General features: G+C 48.0%; 1 protein-coding gene and 1 non-coding gene across 5 annotated transcripts in view, besides 2 other annotated features; both read left to right on the forward strand.

Annotated features, from left to right (window-relative positions):
- Positions 1 to 16664, forward strand: part of PDIA5 (protein disulfide isomerase family A member 5) — a 95080-nt gene extending 78416 nt beyond the window's left edge. Inside the window, exons 11-16 of one of the 4 annotated variants that reach the window (NR_028444.2) lie at positions 82 to 152; positions 678 to 819; positions 4794 to 4924; positions 9531 to 9601; positions 15881 to 16015; positions 16440 to 16664. Coding sequence is in view for 1 of the 4 variants with exons in the window: in NM_006810.4 (NP_006801.1) it covers positions 82 to 152; positions 659 to 819; positions 4794 to 4924; positions 9531 to 9601; positions 15881 to 16015; positions 16440 to 16520 (650 nt within the window). In the remaining 3 variants the exon portion in view is untranslated. Of the gene's footprint in view, positions 1 to 81; positions 153 to 658; positions 820 to 4793; positions 4925 to 9530; positions 9602 to 15880; positions 16016 to 16439 lie in introns of those variants that run through there. The other 3 variants (NM_006810.4, XR_007095629.1, XR_007095630.1) reach the window with 3 other exon arrangements.
- Positions 8688 to 9188: an enhancer, noted in NCBI's record as "H3K27ac hESC enhancer chr3:122872975-122873475 (GRCh37/hg19 assembly coordinates)". NCBI's record gives its function as "activates a minimal SCP1, AML or CMV promoter by ChIP-STARR-seq in naive H9 embryonic stem cells {active_cell/tissue: H9 hESC(naive)}" and the evidence as "EXISTENCE:reporter gene assay evidence [ECO:0000049][PMID:30033119]".
- Positions 11230 to 11729: an enhancer, noted in NCBI's record as "H3K27ac hESC enhancer chr3:122875517-122876016 (GRCh37/hg19 assembly coordinates)". NCBI's record gives its function as "activates a minimal SCP1, AML or CMV promoter by ChIP-STARR-seq in naive H9 embryonic stem cells {active_cell/tissue: H9 hESC(naive)}" and the evidence as "EXISTENCE:reporter gene assay evidence [ECO:0000049][PMID:30033119]".
- Positions 16354 to 16439, forward strand: MIR7110 (microRNA 7110). Its single transcript, NR_106960.1, has one exon. It is a non-coding gene; the product is annotated as a microRNA 7110 (primary transcript).
- Positions 16665 to 27571: the final 10907 nt, after the last annotated feature.

Here is a 27571-nt window from a genome sequence, read left to right on the forward strand (position 1 = left end):
CTGCCTTACAGAGGCGGCGCAGGGGAGCATCCCGAGGGCCTCTGTGCCATAAGAATGGTTTCTCTTGATCTCTCCCCACAGGGTGTGGCCACTGTAAGAAAATGAAGCCGGAGTTTGAGAAGGCAGCAGAAGCCCTCCATGGAGAAGCGGATGTAAGCTTCCTTTCCTTCCCCCTCACCGTTCTCTTTGAAAGAATCACTGACAGGTGGAATCATTATGACTTTCCCCTGCAAGCCCTGCTGCAGCTCCCGTGGTCCGTGGAGGCCAGCAGTACCTCTGTGTGCCCAAGTAGAACATCTTAGACAGATGGGATCCTAGAGGGGGCAGAAAGACTACTGGCCCATGTTCCCGTGCCCATCCAGGTGACCTCTGCCTGCTCCCTCTTTTCTCTGGGACCCTGGCTAACAGGAACAGGTGCCAATCTACTCAACGTGGCTGGTGGGGCAGATTCAAAAGCCTCATCTCAGCTCATAAATGAGAAATGATGGCCGTGCCAATGTTCAGTTGTTCCCTGGGATATGGGAGCCCACTGGGCTAGCCACCCCAGTTAAATTCCAGCAGGTCCAGGATGGGTTGTGGGGGCAGCGTCTGGGCTCCTGTGTTCCACCAGCACCGCATCTGAGGCTGTAATGCATGGTTGGCCTTTCCCCCATCCCAGAGCTCTGGTGTCCTTGCAGCTGTCGATGCCACTGTCAACAAGGCCCTGGCAGAAAGATTCCACATCTCAGAGTTTCCTACGTTGAAGTATTTTAAGAATGGAGAGAAATACGCAGTGCCTGTGCTCAGGACAAAGAAGAAGTTTCTCGAGTGGATGCAAAAGTAAGTGTTACGATCTCAGTAGCACATCCTAACTGCCAGCTGGCGGCCCCTGGAGACCACCTTGAGGAGGTGAAGTAAACTTTATGGTCAATGTCCTGGGCTCATGCCCGTAGGAGTCAAGACGGATCTGACTTCCTCAACCCTAAAACCACCGTTCATATGCTGATCACGTGTCTTGATCAGGTCACTGCTGGCAGTCCTTCTGGACGCAGCTTCATCGACGCACTAAACCGTGTGTTGCTTTTTCTCTGTCTCAGCCTCCTTAGGCCCAGATCTTATTGTCTGCATTTTATTCCACTCCCTTTGAATAAATGAAGGAGACACAGCTCTTCATAGCCAGAGCTAGACTCATTTCGTCCAGGTTTGCTAGTGGTTGGCTGGGCCTCCAGTAATGTCCACAGGGCAGGCTATGGTGGTTTGCAACTGAGGATAAAGATTTTGAAGAGCCCCCTCAGCCTATGTATTAGTTTGCTAGTGTTGCCATAACCAAGTAACAGACCAGGTGGCTCAACAATATAATATAACAATATAACAGAAGTTTATTTTCTTACAATTTTGTTTTGTTTTGTTTTGTTTTGAGACAGTCTCACTTAGTCACCCAGGCTGGAGGCATGATCTCGGCTCACTGCAACCTCCACCTCCCAGGTTCAAGCGATTCTCCTGCCTCAGCCTCCCAGGTAGCTGGGATTACAGGCACATGCCACCATGCCTGGCTAATTTTTTGTATTTTTAGTAGAGACGGGGTTTCACCATGTTGCCCAGGCTGGTCTCGAACTCCTGAGCTCAAGTGATCCACCCGCCTCAGCCTCCCAAAGTGCTAGGATTACAGGCGTGAACCACCATGTGCAGCCTATTTTCTTACAATTTTGGAGGCTAGAAGTCAGAGATCAAGATGTTGGCAGGGTTGGTTTCTTCTGAGGCCCCTCCCCTTGGCCATCTTCTGCCTGTGACTTCCCATGGCCACCCCTCTATATGTATCTGTGACCTAATCTGCTCTTCTTATAAGGACACCAGTCATGTTGGATGAGAGCCCACCCTAATGACCTCATCTTAACTGAATTATCCCTTTAAAGGGATAATTTATCTCTAGATATAGTCACATTCTGAGATAATGGGGGTTAGGACATCAACATATGAATTAGAGGGGGACACAGTTGAACCTATACGGTCTGAGCTACTTTGTTAGGACATCAGTCAGATATGAGGTGTTTATTTAAAGCATAGACTCTGAGACTCTTTTATTCAGGAAGTGTGAATGGGACCCTCAGCCATGGTGTTCTAAGCAACACCAGCTTGTGGAATGGCAGCAAAGTTGCCACTAGATTCAGGGGAGGCCTCTGGCAAGAGATGAATGGACTGATGAGATCCTGGCCTCAGCTTCTCCCACTTTGTCCTGCTCATCCACTGGGAGGATTTGGAAAGTAGCTAGGCCTTTGTCTTAGGGACCAGAGGAAAATGATGGTTTGCCTCTGAAAGGCACAAGGTGCTTGCTTACCCCTCAAGGCCTTCTGGTGTCTGAAGTAAGTGGCTTGTTCACACCCACTTTTCCAGCCTTGCTCTGGTGCCAGGGCTGGTTCACTGGAAAGGACTGGGTGGGGCGGGGGATCTGGCCAGGTCCCTGTGATGCTTGGACTTCTGGTTAGAGAGCCGAGGGAATCCAGAGTGTCGATCATCACTAATCAGTGCTCCAGAGTCTTGGCCACAAACAGCGAGCATGAGGGGCCTCTGTCCTTTCTGTGTGCCACTGCTGCTACTGAGAGCCTGAAAAGCACTCAGGCTAAGTGCTTTCAGGTTTAAATACTTTCTTAAGTGCTTTTAGGTCAAGAGCATGGGCTTTGGAGTCTGAGAGACCTGGGCTGAGATCGTGACCCTGAGCCATTTCTTTGATGCCTCTAAGCCCCAGTTTCCTATCTGTAAGATGGAGACAGTAATTTCCCCATAGACTTGTCTAGGGAATTAAATGAGACTCCTGTGAAAAGTGCTCAGCACAGGACATGATGTGGAAGTACTCAAAAAAGTTGAAACTGGCCGGGCACGGTGGCTCATGGCTGTAATCCTAGCACTTTGGGAAGTAGAGGCAGGAGGATCTCTTGAGTTCAGGAGTTCAAGACCAGCCTGGGCAACATAGTGAGACCCCACCTCTACCGAAAATCAAAAAAATTACCTGGGCATGGTGGTGTGCGCCTATAGTCCCAGCACTTTGGGAATCTGAGGTGGGAGGATTGCTTGAAGCCGGGAGGTTGAGGCTACAGTGAGCTGGGATGGTGCCATTGTACTCCAGCCTCAGCAACAGAGTGAGACCCTGTCTTAAAAAAAAAAAAAAGGTTGAAGCTATTTTTATGACTGATTGTGGACTTCTCATGACTGACAGTATCAATACATAAGTGATCACAGCAGCCAGCCTTTGCAGAATGCTCTCCTATCTCTTGCTCCATTTCATCCTCAAGTCCTGCTGAGGCCAGAGTTTTTAATTCCTATTTCATTGGTGAAGAAACTTAGGTTCAGAGAGGTTAAGGGCCCTATCCAGGGACAAATAGTAGTTCTTCCGGGAACTTGGAGGGGATCCTTCAGGTGGAGTGTGAACAGCCGATGGCTCGGGGGTGGAGAACTGAGACTCGTCACCCAGAAGCAGGGCGAGCAGACAGCGCCAGAAAAGGTGGATGGCATTTACAGGCAGGTGCATAGGCTGCCAGGCTGTGGGTAACTGAGATGCGCCTGCCAGCAGGCCAGCCTGGGGAGGCAGTGTTCAGGGAAAAGGCAGAGCAGAAAGGTCAGATGAGTGGTGTCAGCCATGGAACCAGAGAAGCTGGAGGACAAAGACAGGGAGGAAGGCTGGGAGGGGCCCGTCTTAGTCACCAGCACAGGAGAAGGTGAGAGGCAGGGAGACTGATTTGGGAGGAGGAGGGAAGAGTAATGTGTTCTAAGTCATGGTGGATTTGAGGTTACAATGGGACTTCCAGCTGGAAATGCCTGAAAAACACCTGGAAATAAGGAGCTTGGATGAGAGGTGAGGCCTTAAGTTCTTCTCAGCCATGGAAATCACTGGAGCCATGCAGAGGAATGAGATCTTTGAGAATTGCAAGGGCTCAGAATAGAACTGGAAGCACAGAGAGGGCTGCACTCAGCTGGTGCAGGGGCTGTGGCACAAGCCCAGTGGGAGACGTGGCAGCGTGGGTGTAGCCCTCTCCCCAGAAATACTCCCAAGAAGGGGAGCTGAGTTATAGAGAGGGAAGCAGGGGAGCAAAAGCTATTGCAAGACCCTGGAGATCCATCCTTGCATGAGGCAGAGTGGAGGGACCCAGTGGACAGCAAGAGACTGAGAAGCAATAACATTTATCCAATGCCTGGCATTTATTAGAGCATCTAGGCTCTCAGTAAATATTAGTTCCTTGACTGAGTAGATGCTTTTCATACATTCTCTGCTCTTCATAAAGATCCCATTGTCCTCATTTAACAGAAAAGAAAACGGAGGCTCAGAGGGGTTTAGTAACTTACCTAAGGTTGCACAGCTGGTAAGTCATCTGGACTTGAACCCAGGCCCGCCTCACTCCTTGGCCCATGCTCTCCACCAGAACAGAAGCTGAGAACCAGAAGATAATGAACGATCATGTAGGGTCCTAGAGGGGGCAGAAAGGAGGGGCCTGGGAGTCCAAGCAGAGGTGCCTCTATGCTCTTGTCAAGGAGTTCGTGGCCCACAACTGGGGGGGCTGCCCTGACCTGAAATGGTGTCAAGTCTTCCATATTTTACAAAATGGCTCCTTAATGGGCTCCTCAGAGGGAATCAGGGAAGGTCTTTGCTGGTGGCACAGATTTGTTTGTGTTTAAACTGTGGTTTTAAAATGAAATTTTAGAAGGATTGTAGTGGTTTCTTCATGCATGTTCCCCCGAGTGGTTGGGACATTGAGGGTGGATTTCCTTGCCCATCTAAAAATCTCTCCTTATGGCTGCCTCCCCACTCCCCTGGCTTCTTGCAGCCCTGAGGCCCCCCCGCCCCCAGAGCCCACGTGGGAAGAGCAGCAGACAAGCGTGTTGCACCTGGTGGGGGACAACTTCCGGGAGACCCTGAAGAAGAAGAAACACACCTTGGTCATGTTCTACGCCCCTTGTAAGTAGCTTGGGTGCTCACTGAGTGGCACAGTAAGAGGGGTTTGGCCCCACCAAACCAAAAAGACCCGCACACCCACCCCAGGGACCAAGGCAGCCGCTGATGGATCCCAGGGTCATCTCCATTATGAACCAGGCTCTCCAATTTTATTCCAGGCTAAGAGGTCCTTCAAATCCAGGGCCTCCTTTTGTCAGACTCGTCGGGCTCTCCTTCCTTTGGGGCAGCCTTTCTCGTGTCTGTCCTAAAGCCCTCTGCCTCTGTGCTCGTCCCCTCTTGTCCCTGGGCTCCTCCATGCCCCTGTCCCCTACCTGCACACTTCCCACCCCTCAGCTGTCCCCGCCCCCTCTTCCTTCTCCAGACACTGACTTATCTTCAGCACCTTGGAACCCCCTCTCCCTGCCCTTCCAGATGGCTCTGGAGCCGTGGCATAGGCACAGCCACATTCGCTCCTGAGCTCCTGTGCTGTGCTCGTTTTAATCAGAGCTCAAGCTGAGGAAGTGACACGTCTGCCGACATTGGCATCGGTGACCTCAGGTTTCTGTGTATTCCCATTTTGAAGTTGTTAATTGATACTTACAATGAAAGGTTCTTAGAATTTCCCACTCTCTGCTGCCCTTCTCTCTCTCCCCCAGGTTACAGCTCAGCTTAATGGAGTGAGGATAATAAAAGCTGCAGTCTACAGAGAAGCCAGGCAGCTCCATCTAGCCATAAACCTGCTCAGTTGTAGCTGGCCCTCCTGTTGGCTCCCCCGTCCCCACCTTTCAAGTGTCAGTAATCCGTGGAGTCTGTGTGTTCTCAGGGTCTGAGAGGGGCCGCCACAGCCTCAGCCCCTCCTTGAGGCAGCCTCCCTGCCCATCTCTTTCTGCCTTTCCTTCTCAGAGTGGGACTTGTCCTCTCCCAGTCCCTTACAGAGCTTCCGGCTGTCCTCTTCGGTCTGTAGAGTGTGCCCAGAAGCCTGAAAATTTTCGGGAGCTGACATCTTCCCTCTGGCATTAGGGGGTGGAGGACTGAGCCTTGCCCAAGGCCATGGGGCAAGTTAGTGGCAGGCCCCTCCCGCAGCCTGGATGGCTCTCTCTATGTCACAGGCACAGTCCAGAGAGTGAGAGTGTTTTCAGCAGCAAGTGAGAACCTGGCTGCAGGAGTGGAAGCCCTTGACCAGACGAAATACTTTCCCCCAGACCTCTGGACCAGAGCCCAGTGCTTCCTCTGCCTCTCTTCAGCTCCTCCCTGACTGAGGGGCCTTCATAGCAGACATAAGCCCCCCGCCACCCTGACCCTGGCTGCTGGGACCGACAGGTGCTTGAATCCCCAGGGAATCTGGGAGAGACTCTTACCCTTTTGGGCTGCCAAAGATCTACAACTCCTTCCTTCCTGCCTGCCTGCCTGCCTGCCTGCCTGCCTGCCTGCCTGCCTGCCTGGCCTGCCTTCCTGCCTGCCTGCCTTCCTGCCTGCCTGCCTGCCTGCCTTCCTGCCTGCCTGCCTTCCTTCCTGCCCTCCTTCCTTCCTGCCCGCCTTCCTGCCTGCCTTCCTTCCTGCCTGCCTTCCTTCCTGCCTTCCTTCCTTCCTGCCTTCCTTCCTGCCTGCCTTCCTTCCTGCCTGCCTTCCTTCCTGCCTTCCTTCCTGCCTTCCTGCCTTCCTTCCTTCCTTCCTTCCTGCCTTCCTTCCTGCCTGCCTTCCTTCCTGCCTGCCTTCCTTCCTGCCTGCCTTTCTTCCTGCCTTCCTTCCTGCCTTCCTGCCTTCCTTCCTTCCTTCCTTCCTTCCTGCCTTCCTTCCTGCCTGCCTTCCTTTCTGCCTTCCAGCCTGCCTGCCTTCCCGCCTGCCTTCCCACCTGTCTTCCACCTACCCATCAAATATCAGCTCTGTGCTGTGCAGTGTCTAGGGCCCAGGGTACAAGGGAGGGAGACATGTCCCTGCCAGGCCTTGAGGGGCTCACTGTCTACCCTGACAAAATTCTAAACACAATCCATCCAGGGCAGGGTCACTGAGTGACTCAACCTCTGGCAGAGGGCTTGGTCCTTAGAGTTTCTTCATTTCTGTTACTGCGTTTTTCTGTCCCTAAACCTTGCCCCAGGGACATACATCTTTATCAGTGGGTTACAGGGGGAAGACTTTCCAAGGACAAAAAAGATACATCTTTTGACTTTTTAATAATGAAAATAATAATACCTATTTTTATATATAAATATGGCATATACTATATACTTTTTATATATGAAGGATCTAAACACTACAGAAATGTCAAATAGTAAAGTCAAATGCCTGATAGAGGTCTAAAGGAAAAGCAGCATACCCACACGTTCCTGCTCCCCTTCTAGCTGCCTCACCCCAACATCTTACCTCCCCTCACATCTCTCCACCTCCCACATCCCTTCTCCCACCATGTCTGCCCCTGCATCCTGTCTCCCCAGCTTCTGCACAGCTCTTCCTCCTGCTGTTTCATTGTTCCTTTTACGCTGAATGGTCTGGTCATGGTGACTGCCCTTCTCAGGCCAGCTTGGCGGAGTCTCTAGAACTGCAATTGTCCAGCCTGTCCTCAGTCTTTGTTCCTCTTTCCCCACTCTGGGAGGCGTCTTTGGTTTTCTGCTACACAGAGGCAGTGCCTTTTTTTTTTTTTTAAGCCTACATTAAATAAAAAAAATCATCCACATCTGGCCCTCCTGACACCTCTTGGAAGCATCTTCATGCACTTTCTGAAACAGCCCTCCCTCCCATTACTCATTGGCCCCACTCTTTCTTTCGGATAATGAGAAAATTAGATGCAACAGAAAGCCATTAATCTGAGGCCTAGATATTTTAAATTGATGGTAACAGGAATTTACACTAGGCTGACAGTTACCTTTAGACTTTCAATGAACAAAGAGGTTAAAAAGGAAAAATTAATAGTGAAACCAGGTTTTGAGGAAGGGGGGTGGTTATTTTCGCCAGCCTAATGCTATTATGGGCATAGGCCACACACAAGGGGCCTGCAGCTGCCTGCAGGAGCTGTCTGTGACATACCTTGTTAACCAGTAGATTGCGCTCTTTAAGTGTTTTGAAAATTTTATAACATCATCCCTTTATAGTGTGACATTTTCATGAATTTGAGCTATTTTTCTTTCTGTTATGTCAAATTAGTGAAGTGTTACTTGTAATTTCCATTTTAGGCTATTAAAAAATCATCCAGTCTCTGCCATGAGCTAGGCTGTGCTAGGCACATTGCTAAGCTGTGCTTGTCTCATTTCTGATATAACCCATCACTGGCCCAGGTCTCTTCTGCTCCTTCTGCATGAGACTTGGCAAAGCCCTCTACACCCCCACCCCCCATCACCCCCCACAATGCTCTGGGCCAGCTGGCCACTCTGCCAGCCAGGCCATGTGGGTGGTCCTGCTCATCTCAAGACTGGCTCAAGGACTAAATTCAGATTAAACTTGTAGCTTAGCCTTAATTTGGTTTCACAAAACCCTTTGAAATGCCAGTCATTATTATCTTATTTTAAAAAGGAGAAAGTAGATGAGCAAAGCCGTTTCTGTTCCCACCGTGGCATCTCTGCCTTCCCGAGGCTGAGGGAGGCTGGCTGACGTAGAGGTGTGGGCTGGAGCCTCCCCTTGCTCAGGGAAACCCTCCCCTCAGAGCCCTTCTGTGCCCTGGACAGTTCTGTTCACCAGTGACTGGGAAAGGGCTGAGAGAGGAGGGGGGTTTGGGTTCTGATCTGTTAGTGCTGAGGGAAGGGCTGGATCAGCCTGCAGCTCCTGGGCTCACCAGGACAGGAGGAGAAAGTGGCCCCCACAGAGGTCCCTACCCTGCTTCTGAGACACTGAGGTCAGAGTTGGGGCTCAGGGTGATGCCCAGAACAAGAGACAGATGCTGGAGGTAGGGGCCCCAGTATAGCTCAAAGGCCTTAGGCTGCTCTGACAAGCCTTCTCCCTGGGACAGGGAGCATCAAGGGACCTGAGGACTGCCTGGTGACTTCCCGTAGCTCCTCTCCCTCTTACCCTGACCATGGCCTTCCTGTTCCTGGCTTTGAGGTTCTGGTTATTGTAGAGCAAAGAGTAGATGGAGACCTGGGGACCAGGGCCTGATTTGGCTGCTCACAGTCTGGGCTGGGTGGAGGTTGCTAGGAATGCAGAAGTTAGCAGCAAATCATGAGCAGTGGGTGCAGAGTAGTTGCCCCAAAATCCCCCCACCCTGCATTTCCCAACGCCACTTCCTCTCAGTCAGGAAATGGAGAGATTTGCTATTGTCCCTGGAGCAAGAGAAGATTGTAGCGGCTCTGAGAATCCCGTGCCTTCCTCTTTAAGCCCAAAGCTCCCTCTGCCCCCAAGATCAGGCTGTTCCTCGTCCTCTGTGGAAGGAGCAGAACTAGACTACAGTGACCATCGCCCCCCAGCCTGGGCAGGAGCATATGATGCTTGTGACAGGGACTCCTACCAGTCCCCCCTACCAATAGATCAGACATGGGTGGGAGGTGGTTAGAGTGGCAAGGTTGACAAAAGGACCCTGACAGTGTGGCGGGCAGTGGGGAGCTCCTGGAGAGCCCTCTCTGGAGCTTTCAGGAAGGGTCCCTGGCCCTGCAGCCTCCCTGCACATGCATCACAGTCCTGTGTGCTCTCTTCCCCTCTCACACAGGGTGCCCACACTGTAAGAAGGTCATTCCGCACTTTACTGCTACTGCTGATGCCTTCAAAGATGACCGAAAGGTAAGGACAGCGCTCTTCATCTCTTGATCTGCCTGCAGCTAATTCCTACACCTTCCTTCTTGTCATTCAGGTCCTTCCCCAAACAGGGGCAGGTCTGCTAAGACCTGTAAGCAGGAAATTCCTTGGGAACCAGGACATTCTCTTTAGAAGGAAGATAGGGCAGGCTGGATTTATGCTGCAAAATCAACTAAAAGGGATATGCTGAACCATTCCAGCACTTACTTGGAGGAGAGGGATGGTTAAAGGGGTCATCTATTTACTTTTTTAGTGTTTGAACCTTTTTACTGTAGGATTGTCATCATGCATTACTTATATAATTAAAAATACAAATTTAAAAATCCAACAAAAGTCAACTGGAGGATGCCATGGTGGAGGAGAGCAAGGCCATGTCAGTGGAGCCTCGCCCTGCCTAAGTGAAAGGCTCCTGCAGCTGCCGACTGATGAAGCATAAAATTAACAAGCTAGAGCTGCAGATTGGATTAGAGTGCAGGGCCTCCAGGCGCGTCCCCCAGGCACATCCCCCAGGCAGCTGGTGCAGTGGGGGCTTCTGCTGGGAGAGGGCTTGTGGGGCAGGGAAATACCCCTGAATTCGGGGAAGTGTGATTGACTGCCAGCCTTTGAGTTCCCTTCTCATCCATGCCAGGCGGAGCACTGGTGCAGAGGACTGCAAACATTCCTCCCAGCCCTGAGACTCAGTCATGGGAACCTCTGGCCTAACAGGCCCTAGAAGCTGGCAGTCACGTGGGATCTGCATTCACACACACCCAAACCCAGAGTCACGTGCAGGGGTGCCTTACTTTCCTGGGTGGAATCCCAGGTGGGGCCAGGGCAGGCTGGAAGGAACCAAGGCCAGGCATAAGCTGAGCATAGAGTCCTAGATGATAAACAGGCCAAGCAGGCCTAGACGGAAGTTCAGCCGAGGCAGGAAAGGGGAGCAGGTATTAGTGGAGCAGCCCTCACAAGCAGAGACAGATGACCATCCCAGGGCCGGGTGGGCAGGGTTTGAAGTTTTGATCAAGGCCAACAGGAGGTCAGGCCTAAAGGTACCATCCAGACCTTGTGGGAGCAGAGATACAGGTGCTAGGATCACCTTAACAGGCCCAGAGACAGTGGCAGAGATGGGGTAATGAGAACTTTACAGGGACATAAAGCCAAAGGAAGCCAGGCTGGGGACAGGCCCATGCAGGCAGAGTGGGGATGAACTGGGAACCTGATTCTCACTTAGACCCAGAGCCCAGGACTCTCTCTGGAGTCAGGAGGTCCCATTGTTACCCGAAAGCCCTGGCTGCGGCTTTGAGGCACCCCTCACCCCCACCAGAAGGGAGTACAAGGACCAGAAGCGTTTTCTCCTCTGCCTGCCCCTTTCCCTGCACTGAGTGGGGTATGGCAGCAGGGGCTTCCTTCCCGTGTCCATGTCCCTCATTGTTCCCACCCACTTGTGCACAGCACAGGGTAGTTGCTCCTGCTTGGTGGTCCCACGATATCCAGCATGGCCTGGGCTGCCAGTCCACAGGACCGGAATAGCTGCCACTCTGTATTGACGTCCATCACGTGCCACCCAGAATGCTGGGTGCTCTGGGCAGCAGGAGAAAGGCTGAGGTGTGCCATCTCCCTGTCCCACTGGACACTCAGGTCTCCATAGGCCCCAGGAGATCTGTGAGGGTCCTGAGGCATGACTGGCAGACAGATCCTGGGCTTGCCCTCCCAGCCATGCTGGGGAGCATGGTGTCAGGGAGCGTGGTCCAGCTGAGGCACCGAGGGGGCTGGGGAAACCCTGAAGGGGCAGCCCCATTGACGTGGCCCCTTTCTGCCCACTAGACCGCCGCTGAGGCTGTCCTGTGGCCTGACCCACATCAGTGCAGGTGAGGCCAGACTTGCCAGGCCTCCAGCGGGCAGCTGAGAGCCCACGTCTTCTCTTCCCATTCCCCCTGCACTGCTACATGGGGGCCCATTTCCTTGATGCTCCCCTCCGCTTAGACACTGACACACCTTTGCTTGATTGTCTTGGGCCAGTGGTGTTGTGGCCTTTTCCTGGGTTCAGTCCTCCTGTCTCTTATTCCCTCTGTCTCTCCTTTCAGCTTCCTTTATTCCAAGCCAGGGATCACCCTCACTTGCATTCAGGAATGCACTTCATAACCTCTCTGTCTGAGGCAGGTGGCCTGCCTGGGTTTCCTGGAGGTTATATTCATGACATCAGGGAAGCCAGCCATCTGGCCTGGGGGGCTGAACTTACTGGTGCCCACTCTGTGCTCCAGGCATGGCACTGTGACTACTGGGTCCCATCCTACAACTATCAGATCAGAGTCTCTGGGGGATGGTGCTGGAAATTTGTGGTTTTTAAGAGCTGGCTCTTGTGCTGGCCACAGGCTGGTGTGTGGGGACTGTTGGCCTGTCCCCTCTCCCTTTACTCGTGAGGGATCCAGGCCCAGAGAGGAGCTGTGTCCCTTGTTCAGGAATGCCCAGCGGGTCACTGACAGCCAGAACTGGGTCTCCTGACACCCCAAGCTGCCACTTCTTAGCTGGAATTGTGGGGTTTTTCCACCCAGAAGCCAGCCCCTGTTCCTATCCCAATCAATATGCAGTTGGTTGTTCACTTCCATTTTCATAGCCAAAGTCAATATTAGCTCCTGCAGAGATTTATTTTACTGAATCAATAAAGCTGTGTGTGGCAGCTCATATTTTAGCAGGGGAGCCTCCACCCCCTCCCGGGAGCTTACTTGGGGACTTTATCGGTTGGCACACTGGTGGGGAAAGGAATGCAAAGTGTTAGTGTTGGAACAGATGGTGTTATTGAAGGGGCAAGGCAGACAGGACCTGTGGTGGGCTGGCAAGCAGGTGGGGGGCTCACCTTTCACTGCACGTCAAGGTGTGCAGGCTGGGGGTGGTGTGGGGCCAGGTGTGAAGGTCACCCTTAGAGGGAGGCCCTGAGGCAGTGGGGGCCCCACCTCTGCCATGGGCCCACTTCACTGCTGGAATCTGGCCATGACATGTAGGTCCTCCTGTTTATGAGGCTGGCTACTGCCTTTTCCAAGTGAAAGCTCCCTCAGGACAGAGACCTCATTTGTCCTTGAACTCCCCACAGTCATGACACCTTAGACCTGTGTAAATGTTGACTAGGTGAAGGAACAATATAACATATTTGATATTTACTGCGAGCTCTTCTTCCACTGAAAGCATTTCTTACATCATGTTGTCCTTACAATAGCTTGCTCAACTAGGTATTGTTACAGTGCTCATATTGCTGAAGAGGTGATTGAATCTTAGAGAGATCATATGCTAGTTTCTCAGCTGGAGAGGGGCAGAGTGAGAATCGCAAACAGGCATTGTCAGAGTTTGAGTTCTCCCAGAAGCAGACCCTGCTCCTGGGCTCATGTGCAGGGAATTTATTTGGGAAGTGATCTCAGGAAGTTCAGAGAGGACCCTGGAAGTGAGACACGAAAGGGGAGGAACCAAAGCAGGTGTTTTATGGGCAGATGACTGGATGAGTCACCAAGGCTCAGTCCCACAGGAGACCTCACCAGGAAACGTGACACAGAGCTGTTCCACTCAAAGGCCAAAGAAGCCAGGGTCCTTGTTCTAGACCCCCATCTGTCATTGGCCTTACGTCCAGCTCCTTGAGGCTGGGAGGATGCTCTGAGGCTGAGAGTAGCAGGTGCTGTGGCAAGGGCTGGTCTGAGGGGATGTGGCAGGACACCAGCAGCGTGTGCCCCAGGATTTGTACCAACCACCATAGAACAAATTGAGAAATCGTAGGTGTTCTGTGTTGCAGGTGATCAGTGCAAATCTTGAGTTGGGTGTAAGGGGACAGGCATTTAGGTGAAATTTCAATAGCTGAGAAGAGCTTTATTCGCTGCCTTCTTTCCAAAGAGTCTAAGCTGCTGCCTTTGGGGAGGACGCATTTGTCTCTTCTTCTGTGGAAAACGCGCGTGGATTCACCTTTGCAGCTAGAAGTTGCATTCCATGTGTGCGGCTGGCAGCTAGTTTAGGTGATTCAGAACAAGTATACATTTCTAATTTAGTAGATTTATAAAACCATACACTATATTTCCAATAGCTCCAGGGCATTGTATACAAATTAAATTCATAATTTAAAGCAGATGCAGGGAGAGCAGCAGCCCAGAGCCATGTTCATCCAGCACTTTCATGGCGGAGCAGCAGCTCCTGGCCCGGGCTGGGCATGGGGCCTCAGCCTCTGGCTGCAGGGAAGGAAAGTATGTGGATGCCCGTGTCCCTGGGCAGGGCCCCATAGCACCTGCCCTGAGAAATGGAACCCCACAATTTGGCCAGGGGAGCATCTGCCTCATGTTTTTAAATAATAAAGTGCGTTAGAGGTGGGCTGCGGTTATCAGAAGTGCATAGGGGCCAGTCTGCTGGCCTGGGTGAACTGGGCTCCAGGGGGTGCTGGGGAAGGTATGTTTAGCCTACCTGAAGGACAGCTGCCTCTCTGCCCAGCCAGTTGTCACCTGTGAGACTGCAGGGTAAGTGCCATCAAGTCTTCTGACTTTTAAAGAGAAGCTGGAAAGCCAAATTGTTGTATTAAATCTTCTGGCTCCATTTCTATGTTGGAGCTAATTCAGATTTATTTTTTTTGTTGTTGTTAAATTCAATGTGGGCCAAATAGAAGAGGACTGAGAGCCAGATACAGATTGCAGGCAGCAAGTTTGTAAACTCCATTTTAAAAGTCTCACCGTATAGAATGTTACATAGCTGAAGAGTAGAAGGGAAGCGTGAGGGTGAGGGGGGTGAAGGTGGCACCTGGTGGCCAGGGGAGGCCGCACCTCACTCTTCTCTTCAGCTATCCATCTGGCAGCTCACCTGGGCATGAGGGACATGATGAGTAAACGTGGCCATGGGGGCCCACAGGATTCTCCTACCTGGAAAGGGGCTTTGTCCAAATGCAAATAACCATCAACCAAAGAACTGTGTGAATCATGGTTATTCAATAATTTTAAATTATCTTATTGAATCACCCTCTTTTAATTTCTTCCAAGCATTCATTGAGCTCTATCTAAAATGATCTAATTTGTCATACAGCAGACGCTTGATAACTGGACTTTGTCAAGGTCGACGTTGTCCCCCAGCATCTAGAACAGGCTTGGCACACGGCAGGGTTTCAGTGTGTGTTGCCTGGTAGGAGGACTCATTCTCATGGGAATCTGCCCCATCTTCCATAACACCTCTGTACTGGGTATGGCCATTGAGGACCCCTTCTCGGGCTTCCCTGGTGCATGACCCTCAACCGGAAACAAGTTCCCCATTTCTGCTTTATACTGTCTTCCTTTGAAAAAACAACAAATGATGAGGAAAAGCTACCCAGCATGTGGAATTTGCTAGATGGTCAAGAAGAGGCCAGTGGCCAATGTGGGAACCACTTTCTGACCAAACATTCTGATGGCTTTACTCATGCGGGGCTCCTCCAGTTTCCAGATGTGCTTCCCTGGTCTCCTCCTCTTCCAGTCTTGGCTCAGATGGCGAATCATACAGAGCGCCTTTGCCCCACTCACCTGGCACCTGGACCACCTCCCTCATCCCTCACATCACATCATGTTGGAATTGTCCCTTTATCCAACCCCTGCCCAGACACTGAGCCCCTAAGTGGGGACAGAGCTTGTATATGGGGTTGGAAGAAGTGACTGTAATAGCAGCTGACATTTCCTGACCATGAATCTGGTGCCAGGTTCTGTGCTCACTGGCCTCACTGGAATTCTCTTATTCAGTCTTCACAATATCCTGATAGCCTAGATACTATTATTATCCCCATTTTACAGCTGAAAAAAATGAGGCACCAAGAGGCTGAGTTATTTTCCTTAAGTCTTACTGTCCAGGCAAACCAAGAGTGCACTTGGGGAACTTGACTTGAAAGCTCTTGCCCTTAACCTTGGCACTATACTGTCCCCCCAAGCTAATGTTCCGGAAATATTAGTGGAGAAATGATTAAATCCTACAGTCCCTTACAGATAGCACCACAGAACCTGTGGTGTTTACAAATGCTTTCAAGTCATCATTTCCTTTACGATCATCATACTCTTGATTTTAAAGGACAGTCTAAAGGCACTCCAGGCCGAGTCCCCTAACCTTACCCATCTGGAAATTGAAAACAAGCACCATCAGTCTCCAAGGAGTCCTGAGCTGGGGGTGCTTTGGTTCAGTTCCTACCTGCCACTGAGGAGAAAAATCAGAGTGGGCCTGTGACGTGGACTAGATGTGCAATCTGTGTTGTGGGGTCCAGGCCTCAGCCTGGGGACACCCTGTGCCAACTCTCTTTACCTTGGCTCCTAGATTGCCTGTGCCGCTGTTGACTGTGTCAAAGACAAGAACCAAGACCTGTGCCAGCAGGAGGCGGTCAAGGGCTACCCCACTTTCCACTACTACCACTATGGGAAGTTCGCAGAAAAGTATGACAGCGACCGCACAGTAAGTGGGGGAGAGGCGTCTGCCCAGAGCTCTCTCTCTGCTGATGGGCAGGGAAACTTCCACTGAGGAGGGGCAGCACTGGGCAGCATCCCAGAAACTGCAGAAGTCAGCTGGAACACTGCACCGAGAGGCCCAGGCCCTGGGCCTGGCTGAGGCTTGACATTGTTGGAGGAGAGTCCCAAGGGGTTGCCACAGATGTCCTGTCCCCAGAGGCAGGCTGGACTCCAGATGCCGAGGGTTTTCTCACTTGCTGGTCGGGGCTGGTGCAAGCCACGCAGACCCTCTCCACCTTGCAGAAGTCTGCCCACCTCTCCCTGTCATAGGAGTGACCCCCTGGAGGGGCTGGGGGTGTGGGGAGAGAGAGTGCACAGCCAGCTCAGGGATTAAAGCTCTTTCTCTCTCTCTCTCTCCCACTTCCCTGCAGGAATTGGGATTTACCAATTATATTCGAGCCCTCCGGGAGGGAGACCATGAAAGACTAGGGAAAAAGAAGGAAGAGTTATAATTCCTGCCTCAGAAAAAGCTTTTCCATTACACTGTGAATGATACCTGTTTTGTTGTTTCTGAATTTCCACATGTTCTGAAGACAAATTTTTTATAGCCGCTTATGGCCATTTTGTACAATTTTGAAATAAAATTAAACCATTTATTTGGTGGTATGGTTTATTTTCGTGGAGCCTGTACTAAAAAAGGTGGATACTCACATCCTCCTCATTCCACCACCTCTGCTGGGAGGTACAGAGCAGTGCTCCAGTGCCCCATCTGCATGGAGGTGACTCCTGAGGGTGTCGGCCCCCTGTCAGTCATTTGAGAGCAGAACAGGGAAACTGGACCGCAGAATATCCTGCTGGAAAATGACAAGCTAATGAGAGGAAATACGTCAAGATGATCAATGACTTTGGGAGGCTGAGGTGGGAGGATCACTTGAAGCCAGGTGTTCAAGACCAGCCTGGGAAACATTATGAGACCTCATGTCTACAGAAAATAAAGTTGCTGGGCATAGGGGTACATGCCTATAGTCCCAGCTACTTGTAAGGCTGGGAAGGGAAGATTTCTTGAGCCCAGGAGTTCAAGGCTGCAATGATCTATGATCGCATGACTACTCCAGCCTAGCTAGAAAGCAAGACCTGTCTCAAAAATAGAAAAAGAAAAAGAAAGAAAAAAACAAAAGATGATCAGGGAAATTGGGATGCTGAAGCAAATGGTAACCAAACACTAGCTTCTTCTGGATCATTGCGGTTTCAGCATTGGTGTGTTTCCTCTGTGTGTGTTTTCCTGGAACTTACTTAGGTATTTATCTTTCTCCAGCTATTTGTCTTCTCTTCGTCTCTCCATTCCCTCCCCAATCTCCCTTTAAAGAAAATTAAGTTGCCGCTTCAGGGGCATGAATGGAGTGGGGGAAGGGGGGCTCTGTGCCAGCTGCTTGCTGTGCACCCTGGCTGGAAGGGATGGTGTGTTCTCGAGGTGCAGATATTAGATCTGCTCACCAGCCCCCACCACCAACCATAATAACCCCAAATCTTTACGCCACGTTTTCCATGGATGGGTGCCTTGCTCGGCCTCCTGCCTGTGTACATCTCCTTTTTGACCCACCTTTCTGGTGAGTCCTCCTGCTTTCTGCATTCCTGCGTGACTGACACCCCAGCCCTGTGCCCAGCGGTGCAGGCAGAGCCTGAGCACAGCAGTAACATGTTTTGTCTGCTTGGTGGTATTTCTCCATGGACAGCAGAGTGGCCTTGTGCTAGTATCTTGTCTTTAGTTATAAGTAGCGGTCCTAGAGTTGGATTCCTCCAGTAGTTCAGGGGGGCGTTGCTTAAGCTGCAGTACTTGGAAGCACGCTCTGGTGGCCTTGATGGGGACTTGGCCTGCAGGAACAGCCCTCCTTTCCTGGACCCAGCTCCCTTCCTCCTGGCCTAAGTCCTTCCTGCTGATGAATCTGCTGAGAGGAGGACAGAGCCTCCAAGTTCTTCACAGCTGTTTTGACGATGGTGCCACTGTGGGTGGTTTCATTAAGGGAAATCAAGGTTTTGAGAGCCCTTGTTCTGTGCAGTTCTCCAACTTTCCAATTGACCCTCCTGCCAGTTCAGCTCTTCTCTTTTCCCCTAAGCACCCACTTCCTTGGCAGTGGCCCCTGGACTTCACCCAAGGATTGGATATGAAAGACAGAAGCATACATTTAGACATCATTGAAACACAATTATTGAGTCCCTTCCTGTTGGGGACCATGAACATCTTACAAGGTGTCATTTAATCCTGACACAGGTGTTTACCATTCTAGCATGTGTGTGTCTGGACATGGGTCTCCTTCGTTATTTGGAGTATTTGTAGGGGGAACATATTTGCTTGTGTTTTTCAAAAAAGTTTTTTGTTTGTTTGTTTTTGGGTTTTTTTTACTGCACCTTTTCAATAATAATCTCACAAGAGCCACTTCCTGGCTGAGGACCACTAGTGCCCACCTGCGAGGCACAGGGCTTACTTTCTGGCCATTCCACATCCTCAGAGTTCAGATTTTCCTGGCTTAGCTTCTATTTGAAGACTTAAAAACATGAAATATTGTCAAATATAGATTTAAAGAAATTTTTTAACACATCATGAAATGGAATCCTCTTCACATCCCTATTTATTGACTTTGGGCATGACCTCAGCAAATTTCGTCGCAGCTCTGGGCAGCTCCCCCTGCGGACAGAACTCTCTTCCTCCACTCGCCCCCTGGCATCCGGGTTAGTTCTACTCCCAGTCACCATGCTTGGTTCTTTGTGGTTTCACTGATGTTTAGTGCAGACCTCCTCCCTCTGCCCCACTGGAGGGCTTGCTATCACCCTCCTCTGTTCGCCTGGATCCTGCGTTGCAGGCTGATTTCTCTGCAGGAAGTACGTGAGTTAGGGGAGAACTGATCCCCATCTTTATTCTGGTGCCCCTTGCCCAGCAGTGAGTCCCCATCACCACCTAACTGGAGCCTTCCGAGCAGGACCCTGTCTCTCTTACCTTCCTCATGCTGCTCCCTCCCCTTCTAGAGGTGTTTGGCTTCCAGGAGCTGTTCTGCGCCGGGCACGGGAAGGTGATGCTTCCAGGTTCAGAAGCTGGTTTTCTCCACCGCAACGTAAGAAGATGTGGAATCTCATCTGGAAAGCATCAGGCCCTCTTAGGAAGGCAAAGCCTATGTCCAGGGGTTACATCACCTGCCCACATCACATGGAATAACACAGGCACCAGCCCTGCCCGCAGGAGGCTCCCAGTTTGAGAGTGAGTGCACATTGGTGCTCAGAACCAAACTCTGTGCATTGTGCTCTTACTGTTTCCCATTCTTTTATTGTTGACTAGAAGAAGGAAGCTGATATTCTTAAGCTATCTATCAAAACCAAATTATGCTTATGGTCCCACCAAATATATGTCACCTCCAAAATCTTCTATTTTAGGCCAGTGTTATCCAATAGCCATTAGCCACATATGAGTATTGAGTACTTGAAATTTGGCTACTGCAGCTGAGTGAAGGTGTGTATGTCTATGCCTTTTTATATTGTGGTAAAATATACATAGCACACAATTTACCATTTTAATCATTTTTAAAGGTACAATTCAGTGGCACTAAGTACATTTACATTGTTGTCCAACCATCATTATGATCCATCTCTAGAACTTTTTCATCAACCCAGACTGAAACTCCATAACCATTAAAGAATAACTCTCCATTCCCCACTCCTCCTAGCCCGGGTAACCACTATTCTACTTTCTGTCTCTATGAATTCCACTATTCTAGGAACCTCATATAAGCAAAATCATACATCCTTTTGTATCTGGCATATTTCACTTAGCACACTGTTTTCAAGGTTCATTCTTGAAAGTATGTAGCATGTATTAGAATCTCATACCTTTTTAAAGGCTGAATAATATTCCATTGTATGTGCATACCATATTTTGTTTACCCATTCATCCATCAGTGGACATTTGGGTCAGTTTCACCTTTTGACTATTGTGAAGAATGCTGCTGTGAATATAGATGTACAAGTAAATACCTCTGTGACATCCCATTTTCAATTCTTTTGAAGGTGGAGTTACTGGGTCATCTGGTAACTCTATTTTTAGTTTTTTGAGGAATGGACAGACCATTTTCCACAGTGGCTGCACCATTCTGCGTTTCCACCAGCAAGGCACGAGGGTTCCAATTTCTCCTCATCCTCGCCAACAGTTATTTTCTGGTTTGGTTTCATTTTTAATAGTAGCCATCCTAATGGGTGTGAAGTGGCATCTCATTGTGGTTTTGAAATGTGTTTCCCTAACGATTAGTGATTTTGAGCATCTTTTTTTTTTTTTTTTTTTTTTTTTTTGAGACAGAGCCTCACTCTGTCACCCAAGCTGGAGTGCCATAGTGCCATCTTGGCTGACTGCCACCTCCGCCTCCCGGGTTCAAGCGATTATCATACCTCAGCCTTCTGAGTAGCTGGGATTATAGGCGCCTGCCACCACACCTGGCTGATTTTTGTATTTTTAGTAGAGACGGGGTTTCACCATGTTGGTCAGGCTGGTCTTGAACTCCTGACCTCAAATGATCTGCCCACCTCAGCGTCCCAAAGTGCTGGGATTACAGGTGTGAGCCACCTTACTCGGCCTTGAGCATCTTTTCATATGTTTATTTTCCATTTGTCTATCTTATTTGGAGAATAAGATATTCTCTTATTCTCTTTAAGTTGTTGCCCATTTTCACATTGGATCGTTTGGTTTTGTGTCGTTCCCTTGTAGGAGTTATTTATACATTCTGGATATTAATCCCTTATCTAACATATAATTTGCAAATATTTTATCATGTTCTGTGAGTTGTCTTTTCACTCCCTTGATAATGTCCTTTCATGCACAAAACTTTTAATTTTTATAAAGTCCACTTTATCTTTTCCTTTGTTGCCAGTCTTTGGGTGTTATATCCAAGAAATCGTTGCCAAATTCAATGTCTTGCAGCTTTCTTCCTATGTTTTCCTCTAGAAGTTTTATAGTTTTAGCTCTGAAGTTTTTTATTCATTTGGAGTTAATGTTTATGTATAGTGTAAGGTAAGGGTCCAATTTCATTGTTTTATAAAATATATATAACTTAAGATTTACCATTTTAACTATTTTTGAGTATACAATTCAGTGGCACTGATACCACTTTTGTTGTTCGAGTCTTAACAATAAAATAATGGGAAACAGTAAGAGCACAATGCACAGAGTTTGGTTCTGACCAGCAATGCCTAGTCACTCTCAAACTGGGAGCCTCCTCTGGGCAGGGCTGGTGCCTGTGTTATTCCGTGTGATGCGGGCAGGTCACGTAACCCCTGAGCATAGGCTTTGTCTTCCTAAAAGGGCCTGATGCTTTCCAGATGAGATTCCATATCTTCTTATGTTGTGGTGGAGCAAACTAGTTTCTGAACCCAGAAGCATCACCTTCCCATGCCTGGCACAGAACAGTCCCTGGAAGCCAAACACCTCTAGACAACATACATAACACTTTATGTTATGTGTATTTTATGTAACATAATGGATATCCAGGCCGGGTGCAGTGGCTCACGCCTTTAATCCCAGCACTTTGGGAGGCCGAGGTGGGTGGATCACCTAAGGTCAGGAGTTAGAGACCAGCCTGGCCAACATGGTGAAACCCTGTCTCTACTAAAAATACAAGAATTAGCCGGGCATGGTGGCGGGCACCTGTAATCCCAGCTACTTGGGAGGCTAAGGCAGGAGAATTGCTTGAACCCAGAAGGTGGATGTTGTAGTGAGCCGAGACGGCGCCACTGCACTCCAGCCTGGGTGACAGAGTGGGACTCCATCTCAAAAAGGAAAAAAAAATGGATATCTAGTTTTTCCAGCACTATATGTTGAAAACACTGTTCTTTCCTCCCTGAGTAGTCTTGTCACTCTAGTTGAAAATCATCTGGTTACATATGTGAGGGTTTATTTCTGGGCTCTCTATTCTATTTAATCGGTCAGTATGTCTGCCTGTATGTCAGTACTACATTGATTACTATAGGCTTGTAGTAAGTTTTGAGATCAGGAAGTGTGAGTCCTCCAGCCTTGTTCTTTTTTGAGATTGTTTTGGTTTTGGATGGGTCCCTTGAAATTTCGTACAGTACCATTTATCACCTGTGTAGATTCACATAACTACCGCTGCAATCAAAATACAGAACTATTCCATCACCACAAGACATCTCATGCTACCCCTTTATATCCACACCCCTCTCCACCTCCCCTAAACCTTGGCAGCCACTAACTTGTTTTCCATCCCTACAATGTTGTCATTTGGAGAATGTTATATAAATGGAATCATATAATATGTAACCTTTAAGATTGGCCTCTCTCACTCTACATAATGTCGTTAGTGTCCGTCCAGGTTTTTGCATAGGTCAATAGTTTGCTCCTTTTTATTGCTATGTAGTATTCCATGGTATGGATGTACCACAGTTTATTTAACCATTTACTTGTTAAGGGATGTTTTGGCTGTTCCTGGTTTTGAGCCTTGCAAAGAAAGCTGCTGTGAACATTTATGTATAACCTTTGTGTGGACATAAATATTCATCTATCTGGGATAAATGCCCAGGAGTATGATTGTGTTTAGCTTCTAAAGAAACTGCCACACTGTTTTCCAGAGTGTTTGTACTATTTGCATCTCACCAGTAATGTGTGAGATCCAGTTTCTCTTCATCCTCACTAGTATTTGCTATTGTCACTTTTTAAAAAAATTTTAGCTGTTCTAATTGGTATGTAGTAATATCTCATCATGGTCTTAATTCACATTTTCCTAATGGCTAGCAATGTTGAACATTTTTTCATGTGCTTATTTGCCATCTGTGTATCATCTTTAGGGAAATGTCACTGCATGTCTGTTGCCCATTTTCTAAGTGGATTGTTTTATTACTATTGAGTTTTGAGACTTCTTTACATATTCTAAATTGATTCTCAGTCAGAAATGTGGTTTGCAGATGTTTTCTCCTAGTCTGTAGCTTGTATTTTAATCTGCTTAACAGTCTTTCACAGAGCAAAATTTCTTAATTTTGATGAAGTCCAATATTACAATTTTTTTATGGATTATGCTTTTGATGTCACATATAAGGATTCATCACTAAGCCCTAGATAGCAAAAATTTTCTTCTTTTTTTCTTAAGTTTTACATTTAAAGATATGATCAATTTTAAGTTAATTTTTATATAAGGTGTGAAACTTAAGTCAAGGTTCAGTTCCCAAGCCATTTGTTGAAAAGACTATCTTCCCTCCACTGTATTTCTTTTGCACTTCTGTAAAAAATCAGTTAACTGGAAGCCAGGTGCAGTGATGCATGCCTGTAGTCCCAGCTACCCAGGAGGCTGAGACAGGAGGATCACTTGAGCCCAGGAGTTCAAGGCTGTAGTGTGCAGTGATCACACCCGTGAATAGCCACTGTACTCCAGCCTGGGCAGCATAACAGACTGCAGCTCTAAAACAAAACAAAACAAAACAAAACAAAAGATTAAAGTTGTAAATAAAAAAATATATATCAGTTGGCTGTACTTACACGGGTATATTTCTGGGCTCTCTATTTTGTCCCTTTGATCTATGTGTCTATTCCTCCAGTAATACCACCCTGTCTTAACTTCTCTATAAAATGCCTTGAAATCAGATAAACTGAGTTCTCCTACTACTTTTGTTTTTCAAAATTACTTTAGCTGTTCTACTTCCCTTTGCTTTTCATATAAATTTTGGAATAATCTTGTCCATATCAAAATTTTTCTGGGATTTTGATAGGAATTATATTAAACCTGTATATAAAAATTATCAAATGATTCAGAAAAACAAATGTATCTATGTGTATGTATGTGTGTATCTGCTATACTATGTAGATATATTTGTTTTTCTGAATTGTTTATCTACTATGTAGATACCCACATACACACACATTAGTACAAACACGAAGAGAAAGAAAAAAGGCAAAATGTAAACAACTGGTGAATCTGGGCAAAAGATGTGTGCAATTTTTTTATAAGTTTGAAACTACATCAAAATAAAAAGTCCTCCCTAATCTCCTGCCAACTAAAAAGTATACATGGAAAAAAAGAGCACACCGTTAATAAATAACTCAGCAACCCATTTTAGCAGGAGGGCTGAGTCAAACTCTCTCCAGGCAGGCCTGCTTCTTGTGTGGCCAGGACCCAGGATTTCCTTGGACCTCCACAGAAGGTTGCAGACAATGTCTGGGAGTCTGGCTAAGGAGCTTACCAGATTGTGTGACCTCGGTGAGATCACAGGCCCGCCTCAGGGATCCACAGCACAAGGGGCAATGAGGTGGTGCCAGTGAGAGTGGAAGACAAAGGGCTCCAGCCAGGACTAGAGAAGGAAGAAAGGTGGCTGAGTCTCAGGCTTCAGCAGCCACCACCCCGTGCAGTGTTGACCGGCAGAGGGAGGGAGGATCTGCAGGACCAAGGGTGGACCCTCTTCCCTAACTGTCACCAGGACAACATGAAAGTTTGTCCACACCTCATGGGGAAGGGAGGAGGGGAACTCTGAAACCCTGAGCATTCACCCAGAGTCATCCCAGAATTTACCTAAAAATGACTTTCAGTTTATCAGATCAGACTGAGATCATCATTTCTACTAAATCAAGGAATATAAACACACACACACACACATACACACACACACACCCCTTTCTCTGCACAATAGGCACAGCGTAAATATGCAACTCCTCTATGCTTGATAAAATGTGGTGCCCAGCCCTGAATACAAGGCTCCAGGTGAAACCTGGCCCACTCAGGGTAGAGAGGACCGTGAACTCCTCATTCCAAATCTTATATCTCAGTTAATCTAATCTAAGAATGTAGGCTCACCTTCAACACTATCCATCAAAGCTTTTTCACACTGCCCACAGAAAAGGCCAATCCTTGATAGTTCATTTTCACTGAATATTTTGATTTGCTTGTTTTCAAGGTAACCACACTTGTTATAAGAAACCTGGAAAAGTGCAGAAAAGCACGCAGAAGGAGATTTAAACCACTTGTAATCCTGGTACTCATGAATCACTATTAAACATTTTTTTCCACACACATACACACACACACACACACACACACACGAAAATCTTACCATTTTGTAACCTTTTAAAATAAGTTTTTACAAGATATTTTGAGTATTTTCCTATATCATTAGATATTCTTCCTTAACATAATTTTTAAAGACTATGCAACGGGGTTTCTCGACGTTGGCACTATGGACATTGGGGTCAGGTAATTGTTGTTGGGGGCTTTTCTGAACATTGTAGGATGTTGCAGACCTCTGACCTCTACTCACTGGATGCCTGTAGCACCTCCCCACTCTGCTGCACATAACAACGAAAACTGTCTCCAGACATTTTTGTCCCTTAGAGGGCAAAATCACTCCCAGTTGACAACTGTTGCTATGTAGTACTTTATCCTGGGTAAATGTGATCATTTACTTAGAAATCCATCTTATTAGATATACATATTATTTATAGTTATTCCGAGCTATGAATAATGCTGGATATACCTCTCTGGTTTTGTTATTTTACACGTTTTTGAGTTCTCAGAAGTGGCCTTCTGGGTCAAAGAATATGCATGTTTCTAAAGCCAGTGATAGGGCCGGGCACGGTGGCTCATGCCTATAATAGCAGCACTTTGGGAGGCCGAGGCGGGCAGATCACTTGAGGTCAGGAGTTCGAGACCAGCCTGGCCAATATGGTGAAACCCCGTCTCTACTAAAAATAGAAAAATTAGCCGGACATGGTGGTGGGTGCCTGTAATCCCAGCTACTCAGGAGGCTGAGACAGGAGAATTGCTTGAACCTGGGAGGCAGACGTTGCAGTGAGCTGAGATCGCACCATTGCACTCCAGCCTGGGCAACAAGAGCAAAACTCTGTCTCAAATAAATAAATAAAGCCTGTGATATGTTGTCGATTTCCTTTAAAAAGTTACCTATTTATGTTCTTACTAAGAGTATATGAAATTACCTGTTCTCCTAAACTCTTGTTAGCTCTGGAAATTATAATTTTTAAAGATCTTCGCAAATTTTATTTTTGCTATAAGACAATTATTTCAGTTAAATTTTTTCTTGAAAATTTTAGTTTGCCAGGATGTTTTCAATCCTGTCTCTGTCTCTGATAAGTTTTCTATCTTTAACTTCATGTTACTTGCAAATTTGACAAGAATTTAAATGTTGTAAAAAAAATAGGGTTTAGCCTAGAATCCTGTAGCAGGCCAACAGAAATTTCCCATCAATCCACTAGTTAGTTCTGCATCCCTAGGTACAATCATTCAGCAAGTCCCTAACCCACTTAATTACCTCAGTCTCTAACTGATATTTTCAAACCTTTCCTAAAGGGTACAATGAAAGACAATGTCAAATATTTTGTTGAGGTCTGGATTTAGTACCTACCACATTTCTCTGGTGAACCAATCTAATAACCCTATGAAAGAATAAGTCTTTACCTGTGTACAACCCTTTACAGTTTGGACACATTTTTAAATTCATTTATTTTCATTTGGACAAATGAAAATATATGTTGCACATACTCAGTCCATCCCCCTATTTTCAGCCTCCCTTTCGAATGTAGTTGGGGCCTCCAAATCCTAAGCCTTTCCAGAGTTCCGTAGCATGAATCTGTTTCTTGGCTTTTTCACTGCCAGGTTGGGTTTCTGGTCTGCTGAGCCAGTGCCACCCAACCCTGTTCTTCCCTTAAGAGTTACATCTCCTATGAGCTAGGCGCAGTGGCATATACCTATAGTCCAGCTACTTGGGAGGCTAAGGCAGGAGGATCACTTGAGCCCAGGAGTCTGAGGCTGCAGTGCACTGTGATCACACCTGTGACGAGCCCTGCACTCCAGCCTGGGCAGCATAGCAAGAGCTCATCTCTTTAAAAAAAAAAAAAAGTTACATTTCCTAGTCTCCCTCACAGGCAGGACTGCCAGGAATAGGTCTGCGATTCCTGAAGATTGAAGCTGTTGCAATTTAGGGGCCCACTTTTTAAAAAATATATAAAAATGGCCCAGACACGGTGGCTCACGCCTGTAATCCCAGCACTTTGGGAGGCTGAGGCAGGCAGATCACCCGAGGTCAGGAGTTTGAGACCAGCCTGGCCAACATGGTGAAACCCCGTCTCTACTAAAAATACAAAAATAGCCTGGTGTGGTGGGGGGCACCTGTAATCCCAGCTACTCAGGAGGCTGAGGCAGGAGAATCACCTGAACCCGGGAGGTGGAGGTTGCAGTGAGCCAAGATCCAGCCTGGGTGACAAAGTGAGACTCCATCTCAAAAAAAAAAAAAAAAAAAAAAAAAAAATATATATATATATACACACACACACACACACACACACGCAAAATTGGGCCAGGTGCGGTGACTCTTGCCTGTAATCCCAACACTTTGGGAGGCTGAGGTAGGTGGATTGTTTGAACCTAGGAGTTCGAGACCAGCCTGTGGAACATGGTGAAACACCATCTCTACAAACAATACAGAAATTAGCTGAGTGTGGTGGTGTGCACCTGTAGTTCCAGCTACTTGGGGTGGTGTGCACCTGTAGTTCCAGCTACTTGGGAGGCTGAGATGGGAG

Source organism: Homo sapiens, chromosome 3 (genome assembly GCF_000001405.40).
Source record: "Homo sapiens chromosome 3, GRCh38.p14 Primary Assembly".
NCBI lineage: Eukaryota > Metazoa > Chordata > Mammalia > Primates > Hominidae > Homo > Homo sapiens.